At 40.1% G+C, this 18,538-nt stretch overlaps 1 protein-coding gene across 1 annotated transcript in view, besides 4 other annotated features; it reads right to left on the bottom strand.

Annotated features, from left to right (window-relative positions):
• Window positions 1-18,538, bottom strand: part of UTRN (utrophin) — a 567,700-nt gene that overhangs the window by 376,697 nt on the left and 172,465 nt on the right. The window contains exons 20-25 of the mRNA NM_007124.3: window positions 17,327-17,568; window positions 16,984-17,164; window positions 14,996-15,141; window positions 13,472-13,684; window positions 2,505-2,618; window positions 1,579-1,734 (exon numbers count right to left, since the gene is read on the bottom strand). Of these exons, the coding sequence (NP_009055.2) occupies window positions 1,579-1,734; window positions 2,505-2,618; window positions 13,472-13,684; window positions 14,996-15,141; window positions 16,984-17,164; window positions 17,327-17,568 (1,052 nt within the window). The remainder of the gene's footprint in view (window positions 1-1,578; window positions 1,735-2,504; window positions 2,619-13,471; window positions 13,685-14,995; window positions 15,142-16,983; window positions 17,165-17,326; window positions 17,569-18,538) is intronic.
• Window positions 2,134-3,333: an enhancer, noted in NCBI's record as "P300/CBP strongly-dependent group 1 enhancer chr6:144794141-144795340 (GRCh37/hg19 assembly coordinates)". NCBI's record gives its function as "activates an origin of replication core promoter dependent on BRD2, BRD4, P300/CBP, MED14 and CDK7 cofactors, with strong dependence on P300/CBP, by STARR-seq in HCT116 cells {active_cell/tissue: HCT116}" and the evidence as "EXISTENCE:reporter gene assay evidence [ECO:0000049][PMID:35650434]".
• Window positions 6,030-6,706: an enhancer, noted in NCBI's record as "NANOG-H3K27ac hESC enhancer chr6:144790768-144791444 (GRCh37/hg19 assembly coordinates)". NCBI's record gives its function as "activates a minimal SCP1, AML or CMV promoter by ChIP-STARR-seq in naive H9 embryonic stem cells {active_cell/tissue: H9 hESC(naive)}" and the evidence as "EXISTENCE:reporter gene assay evidence [ECO:0000049][PMID:30033119]".
• Window positions 15,546-15,645: an enhancer, noted in NCBI's record as "active region_25221". NCBI's record gives its function as "activates an Ori minimal core promoter by ATAC-STARR-seq in GM12878 lymphoblastoid cells {active_cell/tissue: GM12878}" and the evidence as "EXISTENCE:reporter gene assay evidence [ECO:0000049][PMID:35858748]".
• Window positions 16,542-16,745: a silencer, noted in NCBI's record as "fragment chr6:144780729-144780932 (GRCh37/hg19 assembly coordinates)". NCBI's record gives its function as "represses an EF-1alpha promoter that drives an FKBP-Casp9 reporter gene in an ReSE screen in K562 erythroleukemia cells {active_cell/tissue: K562}" and the evidence as "EXISTENCE:reporter gene assay evidence [ECO:0000049][PMID:32094911]".

Raw genomic sequence — 18,538 nt, 5'->3', positions numbered from 1 at the left:
AAGCCTGCAGTAACCTTATAAGAATTCTTTCTGTTTTCATTCCTGCCTTCCCAGAGCAAACTATTCACATGAAAACCAGAGAGAGGCCGAGTGCAATGGCCCATGCCTGTGATCTCCACGCTTTGGGAGGCTGAGGCAGGAGGATTGCTTGAGGTCAGCAGCATCTGACCAGACTGGCATCTGGTCTCAAACTGCTGACCTCAAGCCATCCTTTTGCCTCAGCCTCTAAGAACCCCATCTCTACAATTTTTGTTTTTTTTTTAAGACAGGATCTGGCTCTTTCGCCCAGGCTGGAGTGCAGTGGTGCAGTCTCAGCTCACTGCAACCTCCATCCCCTGGGCTCAAGCCATCCTCCCACCTCAGCCTCCTAAGTAGCTGGGACTATAGGCGCACACCACCATGCCCGGCTAATTTTTGTATTTTTTATAGAGATAAGGTTTTGCCATGTTGCCCAGGCTGGTCTCAAACTCCTGAGCTCAGGCAATCCACCCACCTCAGCCTCCCAAAGTACTGGGATTACAAGCATGCACCACTGCATCTGGCTCAAAAATATTTCTAAAATTATCTAGGCATAGTGGTGAACATCTATAGTTCCAGCTACCCAGGAGGCAGGAGGACTGCTTGAGCCCAGGAGTTCAAGGCTGCAGTAAGCTAGGATTGTGCCACTGCACTCCAGCCTGGGTGATACAACAAGATACTGTTGCTAAAAAAAAGGAAACAAAACAAAAAGCCAGAGTGACCTTAAAAGATCTATATCACATGTCACTTCCCTGTTCAAAACCTTCCAATTGCTTTCTGTGTAATATCATACTTGAAATAAATCCCAAGTCCTTTCCTCCAAGGCCATAGCTAATCCATCCTCTGCCTACCTCTAACCTCAAATATTCCCATTCTCCAACTCACTAACTCCTCTCTGTTTTATTCCAGCTACACTGCCTTCATTCTTTATTAAACAGACCAAGTTCATTCCCACCACAGAGTTTTAAAGCCTGCTATTCTCCACGCCTGAATGTTCTTATCTGAACCTTACAAGGCTCATCTCTTACTTTACTCAGTTCTTTATTCAAACATCCCCATCTCAGAAAGTCCTTCCCTGACCATCCTATTTGAAATAACCCACCTAGCCCTAACTCCTTGCTACTCCTCCATGATATTATTCATTATCCATCTGCCTCACTAGAATGTAAGCTCCTTAAGAGGAGTTTCTTCTTCCTTGTTCAATGCTGTACCTGCAGTGCCTAGAATGATGCTTGACAGGTGGCAACTGATTAAGAAATATTTGCTAAGTAAATAAATGGTCCCACTCAAATGTCTTAGGGGTAAAGCAAGTGTCATAAATGTGTTTCAAGCCAGATTTAAGACAAGAATGGATAAGCCCTGAGCCAAACTGGACAATCAGCACCCTCTCTTAATTTAAAAAATGATGCCTTTTTTTTTGGCCCCAGCTCACTACCCATGCTGGAGTTATTCTAGACCATCGTTTTTCAAACTGGATGGGTCATAATACATTTAGTCAGCTGAGAGAAGCTACAGTCTACATCTCCTGAAAACCGTAGGTAGTAAAGTTGAAAAACTCACCTCCTTGCTAAGTTTCTCCAGTTGAGTTTGGTAGTCACCTAGTCTTGTCTGCACCCAAGTTTTTATTCCAGCAACTGGACCACTTCGAAGATTAGTCTCTATTTCCTTCATGTTTTTCAGAGATGATTCAATTGTTTCTATTTCATTAACAAATGCCTAAACACATAAAAGATGCATGTTGAGTTCATTACTATATAAGTGGATGCCATAATTATAGTTTGTCTGCTTATCTCCCTGCAAATATTACACAAGCAGACTGCTTAAGAGTCAGTACTTCTAACTACTTAAGAAATATTGTGCCTTAAGAAACTCATTTCACCTGGGTGCTTGATATAGCCATCTGCCAAATTAGACTGGAAATACTTGACTCTCAGAAGGGAATAGCCTTTTAATTAATGTAGAGAAGCCTGATGATTTCACCAAATATAAACTGCATGCACTATTACTAGCAAATTCATTTCTTGTTTTTTGTTTTTTTAACACTTTAAGTTCTAGGGTACACGTGCACAACATGGAGTCATTGTATATTGCTTTTCTTGTGCCACATGGTGAGGATTTAAGAAAAACATACTTAAATGAATTTGATGAACAGACACTTCTCAAATTCATTTGTTAAATATGTTTTTCTTAAATCCTCACCATGTGGCACAAGAAATGCAATATACAATGACTCCTAATGAACCAAAATTGTTCTTGTTCTCTATTCTATAACCTCTCAAAATTCTATAACCACGTCCAGAAATAAAAACTTGAAGAATCTGTCATTCTTTTATTAGCTATAAAGTCATAAAAGCTTTATGATGAAAGATATTTTATCTAGATGTAATGCTATGCTATATTCTCACAATTTTAATAATAGCAGCAAATAACATAGAAAAAGAACAAAATGTTATTTATGACAAGTTCCCCAGATCAGCAGAACTCACAGAGCACTGGTCTAACTGCCTCTGTAGACCTGCGTCGTCTCCTTGGGCAGCCTGCTGTTTCATTAAGAAGTCTTTCACGCCATCCATCCACTTCTCAATGACTGTTGAATCGGCCTAATCGAACATGATAACAGAGGGGGATATTACTTCGTGACGTTCAGCCTACTACATCTCAAGATCTACCGCCACTGGAACAAAGGAACTTTTTAAAGCTCCGATAGCATCGCTTTCATTTATGTTATTTCTTTTTCTAAACCTTCCAAATTTGAAAATGATTATTTTCTTCATTCTTGACTAAAATCCTCAAGAGATGACAGGTTAGTAACCACTCTAAAAATTTCCAAACGCTAGCTCTTTTTGCTTAAATGCAAGCAATAGTTATGATTTAAAATGCAAATTACAGGGAAAAAATGCATTTCTAGGTTTTATCAGCTATAAAATATTTTGCTCTGATATAATTTAGAACAATTTTTCTCTAAAGTTAGTAACTCAGAGCAGGAATAAACAAATAGCACGGTAGAGGGAATACAATAGATGGTTCTCATTTCTGCTTTTGGATGCCTTTTTATCTGAGAACTCAAGACAGTCCCCGTTCAGCTCCAATATTTCATCCAACATTTATTAAGCACCTACTATATATATAAAATCCAGCTACTGTGTATGGCGATAGGGGTTCAAAGACAAATGTGAAAGCAAACATTTTGCAAAGAGAAAGAGACTTTAGAGAGAAGGTAACATTGGAACCAGGCCTTAAAGAATGCAAATAAGGGCCAGGTACGGTGGCTCACGCTTGTAATCCCAGCACTTTAGGAGGCCCAGGCTACGGATCACGAGGTCAAGAGATCAAGACCATCCTGGCCAACAAGGTGAAACCCCGTCTCTATTAAAAATACAAAAATTAGCTGGGGGCGTGGTGGGGCACCTGTAGTCCCAGCTACTCGGGGTGGCTTAGGCAGGAGAATAGCTTGAAACTGGGAAGCAGAGGTTGCAGTGAGCCAAGATGGCACCACTACACTCCAGCCTGGCGACAGAGCAAGACTCTGTCTCAAAAAAAAAAAAAAAATGCAAGTAAGTAGATGCAATTTTAGCTTTTGAGCTCCAATACCAAAATCATTGTCATTTCTTTCCATAGGTGGGCAACTGCCATGTTTTTCTCTGGTCTTCTACTGATTACATGTTCCCAATTCCTTCCATGATGTCTGTAGGACATGATATTTAGGTATTGCTCACTACTCTGATCAACACGCTCTGGAAACTACATCAATTTTTAATGTCCTTAAAATATGCCACCCAGAACCAACTATTCTGATCCTTATAATGTTTGAATTGATCACAAAGATCTAACTAGTTTATATAAGGTTATCAGAGATTATCTCAAATACTTTGGTGAAATCAAGACTTGCCAAGAATGTTCATTTGTGAGCATTATTTGAACTAAATGAGAGAGCATCTTCAAATGTGAGATGTTATCACTCTGTGTATCTAATAATCTAGGCTTCCTCCTCCAAAAAAAAAAAAAAAGAAAAGAAAGTAGTACTTAAAGGAAATGAGTCTGGGCAAGGCCTATTATTGGTATCCATGTTGATTCCTGGTGACCACGACATTCTTTCCTAAGCACATATAAGATCTCTAGTCGGTTATTTATCTTACAGTTTGGCTAGGAACTGACATCAAACTTACTTTATATCTTCTGCTTCTAAAAACTAATGTTTCCTCTTAATTAGGACATTCCTCCATCTCCATTTTTCTGGTAATTTCTCACAAGATTATGACGTAAATGACCCTGAGATCAAGGGTAAAAATCCCACTTGGGATGTAGATTTATGCATCTGGAGGAGCTCTGAGTGGTTTTGCTTGTGGTCCTAAGTTCAGGCTCTAAAGCACTCTCAGTAATGACTATTCTATACTTTGTAGTTTTGAAGGCCATTCTCTGATGAAGATGGCAAGTAAAAAGTGCTTATCTAGCTAGGTTTCTCTGTGTCTTCCATTAATATTATACCATCCTGTCTAAGCACTTCTGCATCTCGTTTATTCTTGGCACAGCTTTGAAAGCCTTTCAGTTCCATTGCACACTTTCCCCAAGCTGCTTCCTCCTCTCTTCTCCAGCCTGTCTGACACTATTCCCACAGGTCCATGCTACCCTTATATATTTTCAGTTGGTTACAGGTCACTTCTGTGTTTGCTCCAGCATTTCAAGGTCTTAGCATAGAAGGCTTCTTGGGAAGACATGCTCAGGACGGGTAGAGTGGGGCATCCAAAAAAGACAGAAGTGCAAAAAGAGAGAAAGTGTGAATACATTCACAGAGTTCATAAAATGACTTTAAAAATTCTCCGTTTAACTTGTCACCACAGATTCTTGCACTGCTAATCTCCATTCTGCACTTTTAAAGAATGCATTACTGCTGTATAACTGGGAAATTCATTAACTCTAGTTTGAATAAGGAAAACTGATAGTCTCCTCAGCCAAAATTTTCAAAATTTATATGGAAGCATTATATTTCAAGGAAGTTTTAACCACAATTGGCTTTGACTTGAGTAAGTGGCCTTAACTACTCCAGTCACTGGCATATGAGGAAGTTTTATGGCCTCAACAGCCTTCCCTCCTCCCTCCTTCCCACCCTCTCTCTAATACACGCAGACCCATCAGGGCACATGCAATTCACATGTATCTGTTCCTTCTCTCCCTCTGACATGAGAAAAAAAGAAAGAGAAAAGAAACAGATCCCTCTCCCTCTCCCTCTCCCCCTCCCCCTCCCTCGCCCCCTCCCCCTCCCTCTCCCCCTCCCTCTCCCCCTCCCTCGTCTCCCTCTCCCCTTTGCACGGTCTCCCTCTGATGCCGAGCCAAGGCTGGACTGTCCTGCCGCCATCTCGGCTCAATGCAACCTCCCTGCCTGATTCTCCTGCCTCAGCCTGCCGAGTGCCTGGGATCGCAGGTGCGCGCCGCCACGCCTGACTGGTTTTTGTATTTTTTGGTGGAGACGGGGTTTCGCCGTGTTGGCCGGGCTGGTCTCCAGTTCCTGACCGAGAGTGATCTGCCAGCCTCGGCCTCCCGAGGTACCGGGATTGCAGACGGAGTCTCACTCACTCAGTGCTCAATGTTGCCCAGGCTGGAGTGCAGTGGCGTGATCTCGGCTCGCTACAACCTCCACCTCCCAGCCGCCTGCTTTGGCCTCCCAAAGTGCCGAGATTGCAGCCTCTGCCCGGCCGCCACCCCGTCTAAGAAGTGAGGAGCGTCTCTGCCCGGCCGCCCAGTCTGGGAAGTGAGGAGCGCCTCTTCCCGGCCGTCATCCTGTCTAGGAAGTGAGGAGCATCTCTGCCTGGCCGCCCATCATCTGGGATGTGGGGAGCGTCTCTGCCCCGCCGCCCTATCTGGGATGTGAGGAGCGCCTCTGCCCGGCCGCGACCCCGTCTGGGAACTGAGGAGCCCCTCCGCCCAGCAGCCACCCCATCTGGTAAGTGAGGAGCCCCTCCGCCCGGCAGCCACCCCATCTGGGAAGTGAGGAGCGTCTCCGCCCGGCAGCCGCCCCGTCTGGGAGGTGGGGGGCGCCTCTGCCCGGCCACCCCATCTGGGAAGTGGGGAACCCCTCTGCCCGGCCGCCACCCCGTCTGGGAGGTGTACCCAACAGCTCATTGAGAACGGGCCATGATGACGATGGCAGTTTTGTGGAATAGAAGGGGGGGAAGTGTGGGGAAAAGAAGGAGAGATCGGATTGTTGCTGTGTTTGTGTGGAAGGAAGTGGACATAGGAGACTCCATTTTGTTCTGTACTAAGAAAAATTATTCTGCCTTGGGATGCTGTTGGTCTATAACCTTGCCCCCAACCCCGTGCTCTCTGGAACATGTGCTGTGTCCACTAAGGGTTAAATGGATTAAGGGCGGTGCAAGATGTGCTTTGTTAAACAGATGCTTGAAGGCAGCATGCTCGTTAAGAGTCATCACCACTCCCTAATCTCAAGTACCCAGGGACACAAACACTGCGGAAGGCGGCAGGGCCCTCTGCCTAGGAAAACCAGAGACCTTTGTTCACATGTTTATCTGCTGACCTTCCCTCCACTATTGTCCTATGACCCTGCCAAATCCCCCTCTCCGAGAAACACCCAAAAATGATCAATAAATACTAAAAAAAAAAAGGAAAGAAACAGACAGAGAAGCCATGTAGGCCAATGGATCATCCCAAAAGTGACAAAGGGAATAGAAGGGAACCTGTAAAGCCACACTATAATATTTTCACTACTAAAAATCCTGCATGTAATTCTAACCACACTGTGCTCTAAAAGAGACAGTGTGCCCATATAAAGAAATGCTGAGGTCTGACTACCAAGCTCAGCACCTGCCTAGCCATGGGGCCTTGAGAAACTAATTTTTCTTTGAGCCTTAATAACTCATTGTGAAACTGGAATCATAACAACTATCTTGTCTGGTTGTTCTGAAAAACAGAGACTCCCACATAGAAGAATGCACTAAATGGTAGCGATTATTATACTAAGATCTACAAAACCAACTGCTTTATTATGACCAAGATTGAGACCATAAAAGAGTTACCACATCCAAGTTTTGGTGTTTATGTCCCATCAGAGGCACCACAGGAATGAACAGCCAGGATGAGCATGTGTTTGCATAAGCATGGGTTTCACTTTTTTAATTGCTGCCAACATTAATGCTTGTTCTATCCTGTAACTGTTTCAAAGTAACTGTTTCAAATGGCTACTGCTTATATATCTGGCTAGACCTGGCCAAATACAGCTCATGGGAAGGAATTGGTACAGAAGGAAAGGCCCATCCTTTAGAAGTGCCTGGCAGCAGCAGATTCACTCGGCGTTTCCACCTCGTGGCACACCGCGCGGGAAGGGTTATCAAGTCCCAAAGATCAATGCTACCTACCACCTGTACCTGTATGGGTGAAGGCAGAAGACAGGGAGCTCTACTCTGCCTTCCACTCTCCCTATCTTATCTCCCCTTTCCCTGAGCAAAATATTGTCACAATCAACCTGTAGCAGATGTTTCCTGTGCTTTTCAAACATACCAAAAGTCTGCTCATCTTTAAGTCAATTCCACCACAACAAAGAGGTTGATTACAAAGATCGTCAAAGAGCTCACATGAAAATAGTGTTTCTCTGTCCATTTAAAAATTACTCAGCTGATGCACTTACAAGCTTCTAATCTACAATAATGACGATTTTTTTCTTCACCTCCATCTGCTTACAGAACACACGCATGCACACACACACACACACACACACATTTCTTTAAGGGACTTCAGTTCTTACAAACCAAAACGAAATATAAAAACTGTTAGTAAATTTCTAAAGCAAATGTCATTATTTCACATGCAAAAAAAAATAAACTAAGTACTAATCTGGGGCAGCCATTTCTCATACCTATTTTTACTCACAAATATTCAAATGAATATAAAATTACGAATACAGTATTTTTTGAAAATCAAAATATCAAATATTCTAGTATGGAAGGGTCAAAGTCTACATGGACCATCACTGCTCAAAAGCAATGATTTCTAAGCATTTCAGATGGGCAACAACCTGCTATGGGATCACGGACAAGGAACAGCAAGGTCATTAAAACAATTCCTCTGACCCTATCTCACCTCATTTCCCATCCCCCATCCTGTGACCTAAGGATGGAGGTAATTTAAAGCTTGGTAAATCTGGATTTAAGACAGTAAGATTGCAAGGTACACAACTACCTCTGGAGACTTGATTACAGCTAAATTCTTGGCATTTTCTTTTGCTCCTCCCCCATCTGTCGGAATGTCCACAGCTTTTTAAGACATAGACCAGAAAAAAAAAAAAATAGTGTGAAGCCAGAATTAAAACAGTAATTTAAGGCAGCCAGGTTCCTATTTTGTTTCACTTTATAATACTCAATAACCTCAAAAACACAACCTTGAAAATGTGCTCTCTCACTTAGTAGGGAAGACAAACAATGACACTGCTACTACACTTATTAAAAACTAATAAGGTTCTTAAATCTAAGGAAGGGAATATATGAATATTCCCTTCAGTAAAGTAAAATGTGTTCACAAATGAGAAAAAAAACTCAAACCCTTATGAGATAATTATATCAATTATATGTTACCTAAGAAGGGTTAAATCATCCGTACTAATATTACTCTTAGAAAGTATTGCATTTTTACCCTAAAATGCTTTCCAAAGTACTCTCAAAACCTGGTTCTGCCTGTTGGAGCTCCAGCACGCCCCCCTCCAGATTCCGGGTCAGAGCAAGTCCATTCATGTGTGCCTTTGACTGTTCAACAGTTGAAGGAAGAGGCATGACTACACAGGTGTCCTGCCACTTAGGATAACCAGGCTTTAGACTGTATAAATCCACTCTCACTAGAGAGGCCGGACACATCAATTACATTCACATCTGCTAACTTGCTCTATGCCTGACAGGGATCCAACCCTCAAAGAGCTCATGCCTCGTGGGAAGAGAGACACACATTTCTCACCATAATAAAAGACGGCCTGAGATGGGTCATTGTGAAGGTGTAAATGACACACAGTCGAATCACAGAGGAGGGAACGATTATCTAGCTATGGGTGTAGTGATGAGCTGGGCTGAAGACAGATGAGCAGACAGGAGGAGGAGGGATGTGAATTCCTAGCAAGTACATGACATTTTCAGAGAAAGGCAATAGTCTAGGATGGTCTTTGGTGACCCACCGTATTCTCCCCACCTGACTCAGCTCACAGTGGAGATGCAGGGAGGGCTTCAGGGCAAGAAAGGGACATTTTGTATTAATGGCACTTGGTATTAATTTGTATTAATGGTGAAGACAACCAGATCCTTTCAGAAGTACAACTCTGGTATTGGTGTGAAAGATGAATTCCAGAGAGAAGAGACAGGAAGTGGGAATCAGATTTAAAGGGTAATGAAATTTTCAGGGAAAGAGATTGCATGAGAGCCTGAACCCAGAAGGAAGGGCCTGGAGGAGGAGCCTGAAAAGGCAGGAGCGCTGGAAAATAGAAGACAGTTTTGTGTGTGCCTTGGGGACATCTTTCATTTCCCAGTTATACATAGGGCAGGAGCTCTTGAATAAGGAAAAGGAAGTACGTAATATGAAATACTTTGCAGCCCCTAAATCCAAAGATATTACTACTGGTGAGGAGAGATATATAAGCAGCCTCTTAGGATTTTATAATATGTTATCCCCATGATTCACATGAAAATCCAGTCAGTAAAATCAATAATGGAAAAAAGAAATACCCATTTCATGTATTTTCAAATGTTTTGTCACCTGGAAGGGGTATAGTAGTTTGTAAAAAGTAACAATGAATATTTTACCTCGTAAGTACAGGAATGGAGGTTATTGCTTTGGCATGGCACAAATAAAAAGAACTTAAGAATGTATTTGGGCATAACACAATGAATAAAAATATGTAGGTCCAATCTCAACATGCACAAAAGGAACCAGCTATGGAGACAAAGGAAATGCAGGCAAATGAGGAAAAACACTGCAATGCCAACAAATAACAGAAAACTGAAATTCGCACACAACTAACAGCCTCTTACAAATATTGAAGGATAGCAGAAAAAAGCAAGCACATGGCCATGAAAACACTTTCAAAGTTTAAATGTGCTGTATCAATGAAAGATGTTATTAAGTAGTGGGATTCACTTCCAAACTCTATCTGGACTATGGATTTAAATGTCCTTCACAGAGTTCCAATATCATTTCTTTCCACAGTGTGGGGGAAAATGATTGGAATTAGCAATATTTGTCAATTGTTCTTGTCTAACTTGTATGTACAAGGATCCACTGTTAATATTAGCTGCCCCCAGGAAAGAAAATGGTATTGGGGAAGAAAAGGAACTCTAAATGTTCACTGTAAGTATTTCTGTGGTATTCAATTTCTTCACAATGTGTAGGCTTCAAGTACTACTCATGTAATGAAAAATGCATTTTAAAAATAAACGAGTTAACTATTTTGTTCCTACAAAACATTATTATGAATTGGCATTGAATCTAAAACCTACTGTGCTTCATGCCTTAAAGACAAAAATAATTAAATGCCTAAAAAATCATATATCAGGTCATTGAAAAAGGGAAAACAATGATAATCTGCAAATAAATATTTATTATAATTATCTAATAATTTGAGGGTGTGGAATTTAAAGTTTTCCCAAGTAAATCATGAGTAGTTAAGTAACCAGCAATTCCTACAAAGCAAAAAAAAGGAGTTTTCTTTTGAATTTAAGATAAAACATGTATTTCAATGAAGAAGTTATACAATTAAGAAATATAGACACTGTATTCCTTAACCACAATCTTGCAGTTAGTACACAAGAAGCAAATAAAAAAAGTACTGGACATTACAAATCTGCTACTGTAACAACAAACACTTACATATCCAGACACACACCCTTGATGTTGGATATTTTTAATGGAAATAAATATTTCCAAGTGACCACTTTTAGTGCCTGGATTTGCTACATTAATAGCAACAACCCACCAAAGCTTAAAGCTGGATTACTATAACCACAGGACTCTTTTGTATTTTGGGAGAATATTTATTCTCTTTAAGCTCCATATTGAAATAGTAGCATACATTTAGCTAACCCTAAGATATACTTTTAAGAGTCAAAAGAAGACTAACTCTGAGGTTAATCTCCATTTATACTTTGGACTTAAATCTGAAAACAAAGGGATGATCTTTTGAAAAGATGGGGAATGTTTCATCTGGCATTGCTAAACTTTGGCACTAGTGACATTTGGAGCCAGATGATTATTTTGTTGTGAGGCTGTCCTGTACATGGTGGGATGTTTAGCTGCATCCCTGGCCTCTACCCACTGGAAGTCTTCTCCCACAGTTCTGACAACAGAAATGTTTCCAGAAATTAACAAGTATCCTCTGGAGGGTAAAATCACCCCGGTTGAGAATCACTGATAATACAATGCTGGGACCATAACCAAAAACTTTAGAATTATAGAAAAGGCCAATGCTCATTTTGAAAGCCGGGAACAATTGCAACTCATAATACACAACGAGAAGTGGGACCATCGCAAAGTAAAATGGGCCAGGCATGGTGGCTCATGTCTGTAATCCTAGCATTTTGGGAGGCCGAGGAGGGTGGATCACCTGAGGTCAGGAGTTTGAGACCAGCCTGGCCAACATGGTAAAACCTCATCTCTACTAAAAATAAAACCTTAGCCGGGCATAGTGGCATGTGCCTGTAGTCCCAGTTAATCAGGAGGCTGAGGCAGGAGAACTGCTTGAACCCGGGAGGCTGAAGTTGCAGTAAGCCAAGATTGCACCATGGCACTCCAGCCTGGGGCAACAGAGCAAGACTCCATCTCAAAAAAAAAAAAGTAAATGAGTCAAAAACACTAAGCCACACAAAACACATTTCTCTCCATAATTACTGGTTTATTTGAATGAGATCTCCATCTAGAACTGCACTTACACCTAGAGAAAAACTACCTCCTGTCACTACCATCACACACAGCTACCCACACACACACACAACCCCTCCATCTGTATCTTCTGCTGATCATTCATTGGAACTACCCATTAGTTCCTGAGTCAAAGAACGCCCCTCCAAATTCAGTGGTCCACTCAGAGAATCTGGCTGGATCCCTTCCACACTAATCTGTGAGGTCTTCCAGCTCCTCTTCTACCACGTGTTCTCTGACTTTGATTTTCAAAACATACATTTTCATTAATTTTTGTCTTCGCTTTCAATCTTTTCACTTTTTGGGGGCAATATTCCTTATGCAAATTTGCTTAGCATCTAAATCCAAATCTATATATATTTAGATCTAGATCCAAATATATGTAGATATAATATTTAGATGTAGATCCAAATATATGTAGATATATATATTGTATCTACATATATTTGGATCTACATCTAAATATATATAGATTCGGATTTAGATTCTCTCTATATAAATAAAGATGTATATGCATATATACAGAGACATCTCCCTATATATATAGATATATATCTACACATATTTGGATTTAGCTTCCAAGAGAATCTATCTATCTATATATATAGATAGATAGATATACAGAGATATATCCAAATCTAAATCTCCTATTGCTAATTTCATTTCATTCGTTGAAAAATATTGATTGGATGCCTTCTCTGTGCCAGGCATTGCTCTAGTTATGAGTACATCTTGGCATACATCGGTGAATAAGAAATTTAAAAAAGACAAAGATCCCTGACTGATGGGGAAAAAAAAAAAAAAAGACCAAGGTAAGGAGTCACTGGAGGATAGGAAGCCTTGCAGGGAGAGAGTGTGATTGGTTCATTCTCCACCCAGAACTTTCCTATTAAAATACCAGGTGACCTGGAAACTCTGCTTCTCCATCTTTCTCACAGGCAGAATGTTAAAATCTGACACTGACTTCTATTGACATTGACTCTCTCCTTATACATCCTCACATTTATCCTTTCCTCTTAAACTTTATCACTGCTGCATCTGTCAACATTTTCAGGTGTAGTGAAGGATCCTGTTTCTGAATTTTCATGTCCCTGGAACGATTTGCCTTCCCACTCTGACACTGTCAATGGCCTATCTCTGACTTTTGACTTCAAATGTCAAAAACCTGCAAAAAGTAGTTTCATGTATTCAGCAATTTACTACTACCTGGGCTATTTCTACCACCCCAACCAAGTTACTACTATAATCTAATCAACAGTCTGTATTTCACACAGGCCCTCCATGCCTGAAACATTATTTTGACCATTTTTAAGCAATTTTCTCTTATCTTCAAGGTCCAGTTTACTCTACTTTTGACTTTGCTTCCAGGCAAAAGGAAATAAATGTGCTCTCTAGCACATTAAAAGTACATCTTTGATAAGTCCCAACTTAAATACATAATAAATGGGGATCTAGAAAGAATGTAAAATATTTAAATAATAAATACGTGAATCTTATAAGATAATTACTATTTACCCCGTAATAAACTTAAACTCCCAGTGGCCTCTGGATTTACCTCAAAAGCTCTGAGTGTGAGAGCAATTTCCTCAAGCAAATGTAGATCTTTGGAAACCAAGACCTTTAGCTTGTTCCACTTTCCTTGCACATCATCAAATTCTTGCTTATATAATTTTTCTACATCAGGATGAACATTTTTCTCCAGAGCCTTTGTTTCTTCTGCAAGTTTATGTAATGCAGGTTTCTGATTCTCAAGGATTTCATCAAGGGTCTGGAAAAAGTTTTAAAAGATTAAAAATATGCACAAAAATGTGTCTGCACAGATATAGTAAAATGGGCTATATAAAGTCAAAAGTCACTTTAAAATGCATTAGAAAGCATTTTTATCTAAAAAGAACAGTGGGTGGGAGTGTGAATTAGTTCAACCACTGTGGAAGACAGTGTGGTGATTCCTCAAAGACCTAAAACCAGAAATGCCATTTGACCCAGCAATCTCACTGGGTATATACCCAAAGGAATACAAATCATTCTGTTATAAAGATATATGCACACTATGTTCATTGCAGCACAATTCACAATAGCAAGGACAAGGAATCAACCCAAATGCCCATCAATGATAGACTACTTAAAGAAAATGTGGTACATATCAACCATGGAATACTATGCAGCCATAAAAAGGAACAAGATCATGTCCTTTGCAGGTATATGGATGGAGCTGGAAGCCATTATCCTCGGCAAACTAATTCAGAAACAACAAAAAAAAATACCGCATATTCTCACTTATAAGTGGGAGCTGAATAATGAGAACATACGGACACATGGTGGGGAAAAACACACACTGGGGTCTGTTGGAGGGTGGGGCATGGTGGGAGGGAAAGCATCAGGAAGAAGAGCTAATGGATGCTGGGCTTAATACGTAGTGCAGCAAACTACCATGACACACGTTTACCCATTTAACAAACCTGCACATCCTGCACAAGTACCCCTGAACTTAAAATAAAAGTTGGAAATCAAAAAACAAAACAAAACAAAACATGAAAAACTCATGAAAAAAATAGGCATAATCATAAAAATTAAAGCTTTTTCTTCATGAGTTGTGTGTGGGCAATACAGTGTATTCTCAACCCTAAAAACCAAGGGAACAGCAAACCCAGTGTGGGCCAAGTGTGCAGTGCTCAATGGCTGCTCTCCTTTTCATCTAATAGCACAGAGCCATAAGGCTACTCAACTAAATGACCTCGGAAACATTCCTATTCGATGCAGAAAAAAGTATACATCAACACGTCAACTGATAGTCCTCATTTCATAAAGATATTTTAGCAGATTTTATGAACAGGTTGAGAATTTTAAGCTAATCACAGCAGAAGGAGAAAATATGCTTTTCTTCTATGAAAAAATTTTTAATAACTGTACTTTCTTTTATGTGAGGTCAAACTAACCCTCAAATCATAAACACATTTTTGCACCAATGATGAACAAAACTGACCAACTTTTTTTTTAATCTCTGAAAAAACATTTCAAAATATGTAAGAGGAGATATTAGAAGAAGCGCTAGAGTTCTAACATGGAAGATATATGTTACCTTTTTTTCTTGCAGGGCCTTCTCCACCTTGGCAAGATCATTAAGGACATTCAGAGACACCTGGGCCTTATTTTCTGAATCATTTAGCACATCTTTCAGTGTTTTCAATGTTTCCAGATATGCATGTCCAGGTTGGCCCTTCAGTTCTGTTTATTTAAAAATATTTAGTTTGAAAAAATCATATTAGGAACCAATATTATTACATAGACCATTATCCTAAATGAATTCCAATACATGGCAAAGGAGACCCCATGATTAAAATGTAAAAGGGTCTCTGTTAATTAACAACATAGATCATTCCATTGGCATTTCTGAGAGTCAGACAGTGACTTCATTCCTGCGGATGTTGACGTTTGAAATATTAACTAACCCACTATAATTTTTCTTCATTTCTTCATGATGAAATGTCTCTCTGAAGATGGAACAACAATGTCCCTTTTGTTCCATATAATCTCCTCTTCCTTAACAGCTACACAAAGAATAAAAGAAAACAAAGATCCCTTCAACCAGTCTTGCTGTAAGCTCCACCGTGTAGACAAACCCAGGTCCAGAGTGGAGGAGATTATATGGAAATACTGCCACCATGCTGCCCAGGTACCCTGAGAAATAATGACTGAACAGCCAGCTGGAACAGTGTCTACCTCAGTCACTAATGTAAAAATATCACAGAAGTAACACTTGCGTGGAAAGGAAGTGAGTTCTCTTGAAGCACAAAGAGGTGAAACCAACTAGCAGCAAAAGTTAAACTGCCTACTGATCCTTGTCAAAAGTGAAAGCACAGCTTGTACCAATAAGTGGAGAAAGAGGTACCCTCAAAGACATATTTCACATAACTGAATTCAAGGAACAAAGACATGCTGTCCAGATGCACTTTCAGAAGAAAGGCAATACGACACATTTGCCTAGCATGCACACATACAGACACTTCCAGTCATCACACAATCTACAATTGCTGAAGTTAGGCTGGGTTACATGTGGAGCATTTCACACAATGCTCAATGCATTTCACAAAATAATGCACAATGCAACACAGTTCCTAACTCAAATGGCAGCTAGGAAGTAAATAGTGTAACGTAGGAGGGATGAGCTTTCAAAATCTTTAACAGTGAACCTTCCAAAACCAAGTGTATTCCAAAAGTAAGAACTCTAAAATTTTTCTGAATCTGACAGTGGAATATGATTTCTTTTAAAAGACAGTATGAGACTGCCAAAACTTTAACTATTTTGAGGAAACAGAAGTAAGGGATCATTCATTTTGATCCTCCTAGCAATGATATTAAGTGGCCTCCTCAACCAAAGGAAGAAATTGCACCTGTTTCTCAAAAAAAAAAAAAAAAAAAATCTTTAAAAATCATTATATCCAGGTCAGGTACAATGGCTGACACCTGTTATCCCTGGTATTTTGGGAGGCTAACATCTGTTATTTTGCCTAACACCTGTTATTTTGGGAGGCTGTTATATCACCTGTTATAATGGCTTACACCTGTTATTTTGGGAGGCTGAGGTGGGAAGATCACTTGAGCCCAGGAGTTCTAGACCAGCGTGGGCAACATAGCTAGACCCTGGCTCTACTAAAAATAAAAAACCAGCCAGGCATGGTGGTGCATGCCTGTAGTCCCAGCTACTCAGTAGGCTGAGGCAGAAGGACCACTGAAACCCAGGAGGTCAAGACTGCAGCTATGATTGCACCACTGCTCTCCAGCCTGGGTGACAGAGTGAGATCCTGTAGCTACAAAAAAAAAAATTATTATTATATCCTACTGACACAATTTTAGAGAATGTGAAACTTGCTTGTATGTTTACAAAAAGGTGTGAATCTGGAAAAGAATCTGAATACAGAAGACTTTAAGACTTTGAACAATACAGGCACAAAGGAAAATGGAGAAGGTTGGTGCAAAGCAAGCAAGTGTACTCAAGTTCTAAATGTTGGGAGTCATGTTTACATTAAGGCAAACTGAGACAGGAGATTTTAAAATTGTTGGGTTTACCATTCTCTAGATGTTGTTGACGATCCTCTACAGCCTCTTGTACAGCTTGGTAGCGGCCCAGAAAGCTATCGAAGCCCCGCTGGACAAAATCTGGGGCAGAAGGCTGAGACATCAGGGCCGAGCAGCTTGCACGAGCCATTTCAATTTTGGGGTGAAGGCCAAGAAGATTTGTCAATTCCCGCTAAGGAAGAGAAAATACGGTCACACAACTCACTGAAGATGAACATCCTCACAGGAAGTTAATCAGGGCAGCATTAACTTAAAGTTCATGATACGAGAAGCCCTCCTTAACTCTGGAACTGCACATAGAATTCCTCCACTTTCCAGACCGTTGGCTCCTTACCTGACAGGAATCCTTCAAGCTTGGCAAGGACTGCCGGGAAGATTCAGAAATGGAAGTGTGTTTTACCCACTCCTCCTTTGTCTTGATGACCTTTTCAAGCTCATCAAGCTGCTTGAAATAAGCATTTATATCTTCCTGTAGCTGAATCTTTCTTTCTAGATCTTCCAAATGTTGAGATACATTCTTCCATTCTGATGAAACCTTCTCCAGAACATTTTTTATTTCTTCAGTAGGAAGGCCTTCTATGCAGACATGAAAAACAAGCAAACAGTCTATATATTACAAAATGTGTCTTGAATTTATTCTGAACATTCTAACACTCAGAATAGTGAGGCAATGTCACACATAATGATCACTTTCTTAAGTCCCTTTTAATACAACAACAAAAATTTATAATGATGCACTTAAAAATAATGATGTTTATTTCAATTCCTTGAACAAAGAAGAAAGACATTTTAAAATAACGATTCAGGCACATCAGTAGAACTTCAGCCACTGCCTTTTCTAGATAATATATGTTTCCATCCATGCCATGCTTCTACTCTGCTAGTTTATCACCTGAACCAGTGAAATAAGATCAACTACCTTGATCTGTCTAGGCCCGACTTCAGAAAGAAGACCCTTTGTCCTAAGAAAAAAAGAAAGCTGGCTAGAAAAACTAGGAGGCAGCTCAGGTCTTGGTGACCAAAGCACAGTGTCATATAAATTAAAAAATGAATGGCGAGGATGCCTTATGCTGGGAAGCAACCTGGTGAGTGCAGGAATATTAAGCCAGCAGCCAGGCTCTAGAAGCATCAGCAAGCCCACTGGAGACCTTGCACATAAATAAGCAAATACCAAAAGACTGAGGCAGCAATAAGATGATCTACTTTAGAAACACATCAGGGAAAACAATGCCACCATTTTTATTACTGAAATCTTATCATTTTATTTGTCCGATATTTTTGAAAAGTAGAGAATGTTCCTAAAAATAATAAAGTCATATATAATAATAGGTTTTATCATAGTCCTTCCCTTAATCTAAAATACCTTCAAATCCTCTAAAATGACTATGAAAAAGTATGGGAAATCTTCAAAGGAATCTTTCTATTCGGAGGAAAACATGCATACCAAAAGGATGGCTTCACATTTTTATTGAGTAGGAAAGCAATAAAACAATCCTGCTTTATAAACATATATGATCAAAATCCAGGATAATGAGAGCTTGAACTA

Source organism: Homo sapiens, chromosome 6 (assembly GCF_000001405.40).
Source record: "Homo sapiens chromosome 6, GRCh38.p14 Primary Assembly".
Lineage (NCBI taxonomy): Eukaryota > Metazoa > Chordata > Mammalia > Primates > Hominidae > Homo > Homo sapiens.
The sequence above is the reverse complement of the archived record's forward strand: the minus strand, read 5'-3'. Positions and strand labels throughout refer to the sequence as shown.